At 57.5% G+C, this 12,964-nt stretch overlaps 1 protein-coding gene across 6 annotated transcripts in view; it reads left to right on the top strand.

Moving 5' to 3' along the window:
• The window catches only part of CLASRP (CLK4 associating serine/arginine rich protein), a 31,912-nt gene extending 19,447 nt beyond the window's left edge, over window positions 1-12,465 (top strand). For 2 of the 6 annotated variants that reach the window (XM_011526396.2, XM_011526397.4), the window contains 14 exons: window positions 777-873; window positions 1,898-1,976; window positions 2,063-2,136; window positions 3,663-3,704; window positions 5,521-5,736; window positions 5,852-6,139; window positions 8,846-9,103; window positions 9,524-9,563; window positions 9,929-9,989; window positions 10,575-10,633; window positions 10,711-10,757; window positions 11,453-11,613; window positions 12,046-12,070; window positions 12,312-12,465. In XM_011526396.2, the coding sequence (XP_011524698.1) occupies window positions 777-873; window positions 1,898-1,976; window positions 2,063-2,136; window positions 3,663-3,704; window positions 5,521-5,736; window positions 5,852-6,139; window positions 8,846-9,103; window positions 9,524-9,563; window positions 9,929-9,989; window positions 10,575-10,633; window positions 10,711-10,757; window positions 11,453-11,613; window positions 12,046-12,070; window positions 12,312-12,354 (1,490 nt within the window). In that variant the 3' untranslated portion in view covers window positions 12,355-12,465. Of the gene's footprint in view, window positions 1-776; window positions 874-1,897; window positions 1,977-2,062; window positions 2,137-3,662; window positions 3,705-5,520; window positions 5,737-5,851; window positions 6,140-8,845; window positions 9,104-9,523; window positions 9,568-9,928; window positions 9,990-10,574; window positions 10,634-10,710; window positions 10,764-11,452; window positions 11,614-12,045; window positions 12,071-12,311 lie in introns of those variants that run through there. The other 4 variants (NM_007056.3, NM_001278439.2, NR_103529.2 and 1 more) reach the window with 3 other exon arrangements.
• Window positions 12,466-12,964: the final 499 nt, after the last annotated feature.

Below are 12,964 nucleotides of genomic sequence, written 5' to 3' on the forward strand. Positions count from 1 at the left end.
TCTCCTGCCTCAGCTTCCCAAGTAGCTGAGACTAAAGGCACACGCCACCACGCCCAGCTAATTTTTGTACTTTTAGTAGAGACGGGGGTTTCACCATATTGGTCAGGCTGGTCTTGAACTCCTGACCTCGTGATCCACTTGCCTCGGCCTCCCAAAGTGCTGGGATTACAGACGTGAGCCACCGCGCTCAGCCCAGTAGCTGGCTCTTTATTCACACTCTGTGGAGCCACACATTGACCTCCGCCCAGCCCTCCTTCCTCTGGCTTATCACACGCCCTGCTTCCAAACACCTGTGACCCACACCCTGCCTGCCACCCACCGTGATCTCCAGCCGCCATCTTTCCGCCCCTGTTCAGTCCTCCCTCTCACGTCAACCCCACCACACGCCTCACTCATCCATTCCTCCCTCCCTCCATCCACCCATCCCTCCTTCCTTCCTTGCCTCCATTCCATTCATCCATCCATCCATCCCTGCATCCCTTCATCCATCCCTGCACCCATCCGTCCATCTCTCCCTTCTCTTTCCCTCCCTCCGTTCATCTGCCCCTTCAAGCCCTGTCCCCGAGCTGCCTCTGTCCACTGTGTGTTGTGCTCACCTCTGGCAAGCCCAGTGCCAGCCTAGGGCATGCCAAGATGAGCCAGACTTGATGCCATCCCTTCCTGAAGAATCCCTCAGTCTGGCGGGCGCCCCATCATCCCCGCCTCCTGGAGCACTGCCCCTTCTCCCCTGTCCTCTCGCTCGGCCGTGGCTCCTGACAGCCTTTCTCTTGGTGCAGACGTGGAGGTGGACGTGGATGAATTGAACCAGGAGCAGGTGGCAGATCTCAACAAACAGGCCACGACTTATGGCATGGCCGACGGTGACTTCGTCAGGTGAGGCCTGCCTGCTGACACCCCTACCCATTCTGTGGGCCCCACCCTGGCATCTCACTATTACTCCCGGTATTGACAGCCATCCTGTTTGTGAGCATTTGTGTGCCTGGCCCTGGGCCCAGGACTTTACACATGCAGGTCCCTGAGCCTATGGTGGTCGTGGCCCCACTTCATCTGTGCAGAAACAGGCTGCACCCAAGTCACCCAGCCTGCCCTACTTAGTGCGACCTGGGGCGAATCTGACTCTTCGAAGCTCTGGGGATTCCTAGGCTGGGGGACAGCGCCCTCTAGTGGAGAGGCTTCATTCCCTGGTTATTTATCCTGGCAGTTGCTGGTTGTACCTCTACCCTGAGCCACACCCCCTGCTGAGCTCACAAGACCACACAGAATGGTCCCAGCTCACTGGGCAGTGAACCAGAAACGGAGCCTGAGCATGGCACCCTCTGCCCAGAGCCCTTTGTGGCTCCCACCTCCCTCAGGAACATCCAGTGTCCTCACCATGGCCGAAAGGTCTTACCCATCTGGTCCTCTCAACCGCCACCATCCCCCGCTGCCCAGCCTGCACAGTCTCCTTGCTCCTCAAGTGCAGAGGCCTGGGCCAGCCCCTGGGCCACTCTGTCTGCTGTTCGCTTTGGACGTCTGCAGCTTGCTCCCCCAGGTTTTTCTCTAGATACCCTGTTTTGTGTGGCTTCCCTGAGCTCCCTCTTGAAAACTGCAGCTTCCTCTGCCTTTGCTCTACCATCTAATGGACCACACATTTTATTCCCTTGCTCATTATCTTCTCCCCTAGAATGTAAGCCCGTGCAGGTGAGGATTTCTGTTTTTTTTTTTCAGTGCTCAGTTCTTGATACCTAAGATAGCACCTGGCACACAGAGGGTGCTTGATAAGTGGCATTGAATGAAAGATACCTCAGGCTGGCGTGGGGTGACTCAGGTCCCTCACTTTCTCTGATGACTCAGTCTGTGTCCTCCTTACCCTGTGGCCTGCCCCATCCTCCACCCTAATTCTCACCCACCTCTATAGGATGCTCCGGAAAGACAAGGAGGAGGCAGAGGCCATCAAGCATGCCAAGGCTCTTGAGGAGGAGAAGGCCATGTACTCGGTGAGGTCTGGGCTGGAGTGGAAGGGGACAGGGGTGTGTCACAGGGAGGGCACCCCCTCACCAACCTGGCACCCACCCTACTCCAGGGACGCCGCTCTCGACGCCAGCGGAGAGAGTTTCGGGAGAAGCGGCTGAGGGGTCGCAAGATCAGCCCACCCAGGTAGGGCTTCTCCCTGAACCCCCACCCTGCTGGCATCTGGGGGAGGAGAGCAGGGGCTTAGGGCCTGAGAAAGCTCTTTGGAGGCAGGCATTTGACTTGAGAAAGGAGTCTTTCTAGTGGGGCGATGCATGGCCATCGTGAAGGTTTAGAGGTAGGAACGGCCTTGAGGGCCATGTGGACTCCTTTCCTTGCCAGCCCCTCCCCTCACCCTACTGGACTGGGGGCCCTTGCCAGACTCCCAGGAGCCCATGCACAGGCGGCATAAGGCTCTCACCAAGGCGGCAGAGAGGGCACAGGCTTTGCCCTGGACTCTCACCCAGTTCTGCTGCTTGGCTTCTTCCTGTGTCGGAGTTTGGACAAGTGACTTCCCGAACTCTCTGAGCTTCAATTTTTTCCTTTGGAAAACAAGGCATTATCACCTACCTGGAGAGAGGGCTGGGCAGTCCCCACAGGGAGGTCTTGGGACAGGTTTGGATGAGGCAGGCTGGCTTGGAGAGGAAAGCCCAGCCTGGGTCAGGAGGCCTTGAGGAGAGGCCCTGTGCAAACCCATGCCTCTTTTTGCCACATCTCTTAAAGGAGAGTGACTGAGAGTTCCTGTAAGGCTTAAACAACTTGTAGGTTCAGCGGTTGGTATCGGAAACATTCCTTAAAGAATAGCACCAATCGTCATTGCTGTCAGCGGTGGCACAGAGGCACACAGAGGGTAGTGCAGGAACGCCCAGGCTGGGTGGCCATAGGGCCTGGGTTTGGATCCCAGTTTCCTCCTTTATGAGCTACGTAATGCTGGACAAGTGACTTCACCTCTCTGGGCCTCAGTTTCCTCAGCTGTGATAGTCTCTCTTTTTTTTTTCTTCCCCCAGAGACAGGGTCTTATTCTGTCACCCAGGCTGGAGTGCAGTGGTGTAATCACGACTCACTGCAGCCTCAAATTCCTAGGCTTAGGCGATCCTCCTACCTCAGTCTCCTTAGTAGCTGAGATTACTGGTATGCGTCACCACGCCCAGCTAATTAAAATAAAAAATACTTAGTAGAGATGGGGTTTTGCGGTGTTGCCCAGGCTGGTCTCAAACTCCTGGGTTCAAGTGATCCTCCCACCTCAGCCTCCCAGAGTGCTGGGATTACAGGCGTGAGCCACCGCACCCAGCCTATTTTAATCTTATCATCATCATCATCATCATCATCATTAGTAAGCCCGGACCCAGTGAGAGCCAGAGACAAGGATTGGGAGGAGGGATGCTTTCATTCTAGGGTCAGGAGGCCAAGCAGAACCAGAGCTGCTGAAGTCCAAGTTCCTCAGAGTCATGATGGGTCTAGGACATTGTAGGGTGGGGCTTAAGTTCATGCTTTGGACAGATCTGAGGTGGGGGTGGGTGGAGGAATTAAGGGGAGGCCCCCAACCTGGTCAGCAGCCCCCTCACTGTGCCAGGTACCTAGCTTTGGGTCCTCAGGTTGGCGGGCTTATCCCAAATTCATGACTGCTGAGATCTTAAGCCCTAATTTGTCCCACCCCATTCTTTTCTCTGTAGCTATGCCCGCCGAGACAGCCCCACCTATGACCCCTATAAGCGGTAAGTTGCTCTGGAGGACCAGGGAATAGCAGACAGGGAGCCTCCTGATGGGGACAGGGGTGCTGAGGAGGGGATGGGAGGTTCACCCTGCTAGGCCACCCCAAGATCACAGACTGCATGATATGTTCTGGGTCTGAATCATTTTTGTGTTTTCCAGATCACTGTCTTGTTTTCCCAGTTTTAAATAAAATTTTTTTTTTGAGACGGAGTCTCGCTATGTCGCCCAGGCTGGAGTGCAGTGGCACGATCTTGGCTCACTACAAGCTCCGCCTCCCAGGTTCACGCCATTCTCCTGCCTCAGCCTCCTGAGTAGCTGGGACTACAGGTGCCCGCCACCAGGCCTGGCTAATTTTTTGTATTTTTAGTAGAGTTTAGTAGGGTTTCACCGTGTTAGCCAGGATGGTCTCAATCTCCTGACCTCGTGATCCACCCACCTCAGCCTCCCAAAGTGCTGGGATTACAGGCGTGAGCCACCACGCCCGGCCAATAAAATTTTCTTTATCTTTGAAGCTTCTTTATTTTATTTTTCTGATTTAAATACAGTGCAGCCTTGTGGTAAAAATGACCAAATATGGCAAAACAGTGTGACTGAGAAATCAAGTCACTTTAATCTCAATTTCCAGAAGTGGCCAGTGGGAAATAACGGGCACTCAGTAGCACCGCTGGGCACAGGTCGTTGTCTCGTGGATGAAAGAGTGGTTGGAGAAGGGATTTTGTGAGGGACCAAGCTCAGTCTGATCCCAGTCCCCCTCATCCAAGCTCCATAGCTCTCTGAAGCCCAGTTCCCTCTTCGGAATGGGGGTGGGAATGGGATCTTCCTCATGGGGCTGTGGGTCGAGGTTAGATGAGATAAGGTGTTGAATGGCTTCTGGGGAAATAAAAGGTGTAGGTTAGTGCTCCATACATGGGAGTGTCAGGAATATCAGATACTTTCTTTTTATTTTTAAAATTTTATATATTAAAAAACACGTTTGTTTTTTTTTTCTTTAAAATATTGAGATGGGGCTCACCATGTTGACCAGGCTGGTTTTGAAGTTCTGGCCTCAAGCAGTCCTCCCACCTGGGCCTTCCAAAGTGCTGGGATTACAGGCATGAGCCATCACACCTGGCCACTTTGTTTTTATTTTACTAAAATAGAATTGCACCACACTCAGTGTTTTAGAACTTGCTTTTTCCTCCCAGATTATCCATGTATCTTTTGAGTAAAACTTTTCTGTGTTTTGTACAGAGATCTGCTTATCTTTTTTTTTTTTTTTTTTTTTTTTTTTGAGACGGAGTCTCACTCTGTTGCCCAAGCTGGTGTGCAGTGGCGTGACCTGGACTCACTGCAACCTCTGCCTCCCAGGTTCAAGCAGTTCTCGTGCCCTCAGCCTCCTGAGTAGCTGGAATTACAGGTGCGCGCCACCATGCTCGGCAAATTTTTTTTGTATTTTTTGTAGAGACAGGGTTTTGCCTTGTTGGCCAGGCTGGTCTCAAACTCCTGGTCTCAAGTGATCGGCCTGCCTCGGCCTCCCACAGTGCTGGGATTACAGGTGTGAGCCACCGCGCCCGGCCTGCTCATCCATTTTTCATAGCCACATAAAATCAGAGCAGTTGTGTGTCATTGTCCTTCCTGGTTATTTAGCGAAGGCTGCATGGTTGTGAGTCAAGTCCTTGTCCAGAGCTGGGTCTCCACTGCCCTCCAGGCTCCATCCACCCGCCTGGTTTCCCGGGTCGCTGTGGCCCGCGCTGGCGCTGCTGTTGATCTGCTGTGTGTGCTGTTCCCGAAGAGGCTCCGGGAGCCTGAGCTAGTGAGCCTCCTCCTCCCTACCCGCAGGTCACCCTCGGAGTCCAGCTCAGAGTCCCGCTCCCGCTCCCGCTCCCCGACCCCGGGCCGCGAGGAGAAGATCACGTTCATCACCAGTTTTGGGGGCAGCGATGAGGAGGCAGCCGCAGCCGCTGCTGCCGCAGCAGCATCAGGAGTCACCACAGGGAAGCCCCCCGCACCTCCCCAGCCTGGCGGCCCCGCCCCGGGACGTAATGCCAGCGCCCGGTCGGTAACGCTCACGCCGCCCGCCCTACGCCCCGGTCACCATGGGGGGTACCCGGGGCAGAGGGGGGCCGCGGCTCAGGCCTGCGCTGACCGGCCCTCCGTGCCCCGCCTGCAGCCGCCGCTCCTCCTCCTCCTCCTCCTCCTCTTCTGCCTCGAGGACCTCCAGCTCCCGCTCCAGCTCTCGCTCCAGCTCCCGCTCTCGCCGTGGTGGGGGCTACTACCGTTCCGGCCGCCACGCCCGCTCCCGGTCCCGCTCCTGGTCCCGCTCCCGCTCCCGCTCCCGGCGCTATTCCCGGTCCCGTAGCCGTGGCCGGCGGCACTCAGGTGGGGGCTCCCGAGACGGACACCGGTACTCCCGCTCGCCCGCCCGGCGTGGTGGTTACGGGCCCCGGCGCAGAAGCAGGTGTGTGTGGCTGGGCGTGGAGGTGGGAGGGGCTGGGGGGGCGCGGTCTCCGATCCTGGGGAGAAGGTGCTCAGAGGGAGGAAACCTGGCCGTCCAGCTCAGAGAACACCCCATCTAAGGGGACAGGCACAGGCCACTGCTCTTCCGCAGGAAGCCCTTGGTTGGAAAGGGCAAGGCATGGGTGTTTGCGTGCGCGTTCTGGTGGCAGTGGAGGTGGATCCCAGCCGCTGTTTTCCACGACAGGGTGTGGAGAGGAGACTGTGCATCTCTCTCTCCTCAGGAGACTGTTTTTGCTGTCAGGGGTTCCAGGTGGAGGGGAGTAGAAAGCGCATGGACGCTCCAGGGTTTTCTGTAGCTTGAAGGGACGGGTCCGGGCCTTGAGGGCTGGGAAACCCCTTGCGGAGGGGGAGGGGCGCGTTCCTGTGTGGCCAGGAGCGGATGGGGAAGCGAAGCGGGTGGAAAAAATCAAGACAGCTCTTTGGCCTGGCGTGGTGGCTCACACCTGTAATCCCAGCACTTTGGGAGGCCGAGGCAGGCGGATCTCCTGAGCTCAGGAGTTCGAGACCACCCTGGGCAACATGGTGAAACCCCGTCTCTACTGAAAAAAAAATTAGCTGGGTGTGGTGGCACACGCCTGTAGTCCCAGCTACTTGAGAGGCTGAGGCAGGAGAATCGCTTGAAACCGGGAAGCAGAGGTTGCAATGAGCTGAAATCGTGCCACCGCACTCTAGCCTGGTGACAGAGTGAGATTCCGTCTCAAAAAAAAAAAAAAAAAAAAAAATTAGCTGGGCGTGGTGGCACGCGCATGTAGTCCCAGCTATGCAGGAGGCTGAGGCACGAGAATCGTTTCAGCCCCGCAGGCGGAGGTTGCAGTGAGCCGAGATTGTGCCACTGCACCCCAGCTTGGGCTACAGAGTGAGACTGCGTCTCAAGAAAAAAAAAAAAAAAAGACATTTCATTTTGGAGACGACATGGTGAGAGGCTAGCTCTAGGGATGGTTTAGAAAATAAAGTCACCTGGGGACTGGTCCACCCCCTTCCGGTCCCCTTGCCTGTTGGGGTCAGGGCTGCCCTGGGAAGGGCAGCGACGCTGGGTTGGTAGGAGCATAGACTGCAGGGCACCTGCCTGAGTGTAGAGTCCCTGGGCCTCTAATTCTGTAAAATCGCGGTAATAGCATCCGCTTCTCTGAGCTGTTAGAGGTGTAACAGGTAAACCCATGTAAGGTGCTTAGGACAGGGCTGGTGCTGGCTAAGTGCCGTTAATATCGTCAGCATCATTACCTGCGTTATTGTAGCACTGATCGCCATGTCAGCTGCCTTCAGGGTCTGGCAGGTAAAGTAGAGGGGCCAGGTAGAGATCCTGCTGACCTGGCAAGCACATGTTCCCTCCAGTCGGGGCGTTGACCGCTCAGCAGCAGGTCTAGTGTCACCCAGTCTTTCTAGTTCTCAGGAGAAGTTGAGGGTCTGGATTTTTAGAGGATAGCTCTTGTTTCCTTTACTTTTTTTTTTGAGACAGAGTCTCACTGTGTCACTCAGGCTGGAGTGCAGTGGCACAATCTCGGCTCACTGCACCTCCTCCTCCTGGGTTCAAGTGATTCTCCCGCCGCAGCCTCCCAAGTAGCTGGGATTACAGGCATGCGCCACCACACCTGGCTAATTTTTGTATTTCTAGTAGAGACGGGGTTTCACTGTGTTGGCCAGGCTGGTCTTGAACTCCTGACCTCATGATCCACCCACCTTTGCCTCCCAAAGTGCTGGGATTACAGGCGTGAGCCACCGCGCCTGGCCCTTGTTTTCTTAATAATGACAACAAATTTTTATTTTATAAAAACGCAATTCAAAAATTAGCCGGGTGTGGTTGTGCACATCTGTAATCCCAGCTATTCAGGAGGCTGAGGCAGGAGAATTGCTTGAACCCAGGAGGCAGAGGTTGCAGTGAGCCCAGCTATTGCACCACTGCACTCCAGCCTGGGCGACAGAGAGAGACTGTCTCAAAAAAAAAAAAAAAAAAAAAAAAAAGAGCCCAAGCAGAGTCAGCGTGTGGCCCAGAATTGGCTTCCAGGTCATATATTCCTTGTAGCTTACCCAGAGCAATGACAGGAGAAAGGCTTGGGGGACAGGTGGGACCTGGGCACATCTTGCATGCCAGCCTGAGAGTGGGCAGTGGGTGGAGAGTCCCACCAGTGTCCTGAGCAGGGAGAGGATGGGGTTCCGCATCCCCAGACTGGAACTTGTGGGTCTGTGCTGAGACTGGTGGAGGACAAGGGGTGGTCCCCACTATTGTCGAGACCCTGGACACAAGCAGGATGAGGTGGTGGGTGAGGGTGTAGATGAGGTCACCGTGGAACACTGTTGTGCCTGAGCTGGACACGGCTCATAAAGGGGGAGCCAGCCATCCCTCCCAGAGCTCACCTCCCGGGAAGTTAGCAAGCGGGTGTCTAGTGAGGGAGAGGTGACGTGGGCCAGGCAGGGCTCATGATGGCAGGACTGCCCTTAGGCTGAGTGTATCTAGAGCGCCATCTCTGTAGCCGGAGGGAGGCCGGAATGCCGCTCTGGGACATTTTGGAGGGAGAGTAGCAGGAGAGGAGAGTCGAGCCTGTCACCCTGGGCCTTGCAGGAAGGAGGACTGTGGATCCGGACCCAGGGTGGGGTGCGGTTGGGGTCCCTGGAGCCTCACAGTCCTCCTCCCGCCCTGCTGCATCCCCAGGAGCCGCTCCCACTCAGGGGACCGCTACAGGCGGGGCGGCCGGGGCCTCAGGCACCACAGCAGTAGCCGCAGCCGCAGCAGCTGGTCCCTCAGCCCGTCCCGCAGTCGCAGCCTGACTCGCAGCCGCAGCCATAGCCCCAGCCCCAGCCAGAGCCGCAGCCGCAGCCGCAGCCGCAGCCAGAGCCCCTCGCCATCACCCGCAAGAGAGAAGCTGACCAGGCCGGCCGCGTCCCCTGCTGTGGGCGAGAAGCTGAAAAAGTGAGCGGGGCGGGTCTGGAGGAAGAGGGCTGCCAATCTCGGGTGGGGAGGGTGAACATCACTGTTTTCTTTTTGAGGGGAACTTAGCCCTACCCTGGGAGGTCTGGGGGGTGGTGTATGGCCCTGGCCTGGGAGGGTGGATTTCAGGGGGACACAGCCCTGGCCTGGGGGGTCTGAGGAGGACACACCAAATCCTGGAGGATCTGCACAATTAGAACCTTGTCCTGGGTGAGGGTCAGAGGGGGACAGGTCCCTGTCTTACAGGTTCTGTGGGGTCTGAGAGGGACATGGTTGCACCCTGGGGCATCTGAGGCCCATGCCTTGGCTACCTGGTCTGAGGGCAGTGCTGAGGCTGGGGTCAGAGGTGGCAGCTGCCCTTTCCCCCTCCCAACCATGTCCTCTGGCCCTGCCCCCACCCAGGACCGAACCTGCCGCTGGTAAAGAGACAGGAGCTGCCAAAGTCAGTAAGAATTTGGAACTCGCCCGTCTAATTCCCGTCAGCAGCAGTGCCCAAGAGCTGGGCCCGGTGGGCCTGCAGGGGGGCCCGGGTGGGCTGGGAGATCCAGCCCCAGGGACAGGGAGGGGAGGGGAAGGGTCTGCCCCTGTGAGAACCATGTCCCTCTCCCCTCCTCACTGTACACTGGGGCTCCACCTGTCACTGAACCTCTGGGAGCCTCAGGGCTGTCCACAGCCTGCCCCTCCTCCCCACGTCGTTCTCCCCCCCCCACCCCCCCCCCGCACAAAGCCCCAGGCTTTTGGCTGAGGTGGGTTGTGGGAGCTCTGGGACACCCACCCCCTCTCCCGCCTCTTCTCCCCCCTCCCCAGCCCAAGCTGACGCCTCAGGAGAAGCTGAAACTGAGGATGCAGAAGGCGCTGAACAGGCAGTGTATGTTCTGCCCTGTCCCTCCAGGGTTTCACAGCTCTTCTTTCCCTTGGCAGTGGGAGCAAGGAGACTCAGCACCACTTTGGGAGGCCTGGCCCTTCCCTAGAGAGGCCACGCAGGCACGGAGGTGCTCTGGGGAGGAATGGGTTTGCATCAGCTCCGCTGCCGCTATGCTGGGGCCTCTGCAGTCAGGTTGACCTGTCTGAGCTCAGCTTCCTCATTTTAGAGAGTGGGGCTCTTAGCGGGCACGGTGGCTCACACCTGTAATCCCAGCACTTTGGGAGGCCGAGGTGGGCGGATCACGAGGTCAGGAGATCGAGACCATTAACACGGTGAAACCCCGTCTCTCTAAAACTACAAAAAATTAGCCAGGCATGTTGGTGGGCGCCTGTAGTCCCAGCTACTCAGGAGGCTGAGGCAGGAGATGGCGCGAACCCGGGGGGCGGAGCCTGCAGTGAGCCAAGATCACGCCACTGCACTCCAGCCTGGGCGACAGAGCGAGACTCTGTCTCAAAAAAAAAAAAAAAGAAAAAAGAGAGTGGGGCTCTTAAGGGAACCCCTCAGCCACCCTGTTCTTTCTCTCTACAGTCAAGGCGGATAAGAAGGCGGCACAAGAAAAGATGATCCAGCAGGAGCATGAGCGGCAGGTGAAGTGGGAAAGGGAGGGCTGGGGTGACGGGTGGGTGCTGGCCTGGCCACGTCCTCATAGCCCTGTCTGCTGCAGGAGCGGGAAGACGAGCTTCGAGCCATGGCCCGCAAGATCCGCATGAAGTAAGACCTTGCCCCTCCCTGTCCCATGGCCACACCTCCTGGCCTGCCTGGCCTTCCCACCATGGGCTGCTGGCTCAAGCCCTGCCCAGCTCCCTGTGGGTGGATGAAAGGCAGAGATCCCTGCCTGGCCCTCGGGGCTGTGCCCAGCTGCCTCTCTTGCTCCTCTCCCTGAATTTCCTCCCACCATTTCGACCTGCCTCCCGCCACCGCGACCTCCTCCCAGCTCTTCCAGCCTCCAAGTGCCAGTCACCTTTGCTGTTTTTTTGGCCTGGCAAGCTGTTCCTGATACCCCTTCCCCACTCACCCACCGCCATGGGTCTTTCTCCTGTCCCAGCCTCAGTTTGCTTATCTCCTAAATGGAGATACAGTCACTGTCCCACCTCACAGGCTGTTGGGAGGATTTGACAAGATCAAGGCCAGGCACGGAGGAGGCACCCAGTAGACGTAGCCATTGGGTTGCCAAGCCTGGCCACTGTGACGGAGACCATTTCAACACTCACTGTGTGCAGGTGCCCCAGTGCGGCAGGAAATGATGGGACTATCCTGCCTCCCTCTGTTCCCCAGGCTTTCCTAGGAAGGGGCTGGGATTCCAGTCAGCCCCGCCAGCTGGGGTCCCTCTGAACCTGGGGCTCCCTTTCCAAGCGGGGATTGGTGGCAGTACCGGCCCCCTTGGTTTACTGTCTTCCTCGGAGTAGGGTGTTGGAAGCACCTGCCCTCCCTGAGTTCAGTGTGTCCAGTGTTCCCGGCCAGATGCTCATGCCATGCCTTCGCAGGGAGCGGGAACGCCGAGAGAAGGAGAGAGAAGAGTGGGAACGCCAGTACAGCCGGCAGAGCCGCTCACCCTCCCCCCGATACAGTGAGTGTCCCCACCAGGCTGCAGGGCTCTGGGGCTTTAAAGAAAAGTGTCAAGCAGGGTTACCAAAAAAACCATAGTACAGCCGGGCGCGGTGGCTCACGCCTGTAATCCCAGCACTTTGGGAGGCTGAGGTGGGTGGATCAATCACCTGAGGTCAGGAGTTCGAGACCAGCCTGACCAACATGGTGACACACATACGTACACACACACACACACAGATTGCTTTAGTCACAAGGTGATTGCAGCAATTAGAAGTGCTCATTCCGGCATGGGCTGGTGAGGGGCACAGATGGCAGCCACTGGACTCTCTGGAAATGTCCCCTCATTTGGAGACAACCCCTGAAGTTCAGTTTTGAGGACCTCACCCCAGGTCAAGGAAGAGGCCCTGGCCCTGGATGTTTGCTCGCTCTTCACCTGTTGTTTTCTTTCCAGGTCGAGAATACAGCTCTTCTCGAAGGTAAGGAAGCCCATGACCCTCCACTTTCTTGGAAGTAACACTTGTCCTTTGATGGGAGGTCCTGGCTGTCATTCCTCCAGCCTCACCCTGTACCCACCTCCAGTTGGAGGGGCTGGTCTCATCCCTTGGGGAACATCCTTCCCTCCACAGACAAGTGCCCCGATCACTGAAGCATCCACGGCCCCAGGTGTGTTGATGTGTGTATGCCCCATCCTCACGGCCCCTCCCTTTCTCTTTCCAGGCGCTCAAGGTCCCGATCCCGAAGCCCCCATTACCGACATTAGGCAGAAGAGTGGGGGGTGGGGAGGACAAGGGGGTGGGTAAGGGGCTCAAGCTGTGATGCTGCTGGTTTTATCTCTAGTGAAATAAAGTCAAAAGTTATTTAATTCCCGTCACCTGTCTCAGTGTCATCTGTGTGGTTGGTGCAGGGCTCTCCCACCCCAGGGCCCATGGGCCAGCAGAGCCAGCTGGGAGGGCGCTTGGGTTTACAGGCCAGATGCCAGTGCTGCCTGTGTGGGACATCTTGCCCCCATCTGATGGCTAAGTGGCAGGCCCCTGTTCATCAGAACCTGCCATGGCTCAGTGAGGCCTGCTCAGGAGGCCAGGGCACAGTCCCAAGGGAGAGGGCCCAGACCTGCCCGCAGATGTGGACATAGGGTGTCGGCCCAGCATGTCCCACATGGGCCCCTTTGCCCAGGGCCTCTGGCGACAGGTCCGGGCCTCTCCCCGCCCTCGCCTCAGCCCCTGCCCTGGCCTCGCCCGCACTAGGAACTGGGAGCGCAGCTTTCTGTGCCAGTCCTGCTGCGCCCCAGGCACTGGGGGCTGGCCGTTCCCTCACCCCCTCACTCCAAACCGGTCTGTCCAGCCGTCCACCCCACGGAGGGGAAGCCTCCT

This window comes from Homo sapiens, chromosome 19, assembly GCF_000001405.40.
Source record: "Homo sapiens chromosome 19, GRCh38.p14 Primary Assembly".
In the NCBI taxonomy this organism is placed as follows: domain Eukaryota; kingdom Metazoa; phylum Chordata; class Mammalia; order Primates; family Hominidae; genus Homo; species Homo sapiens.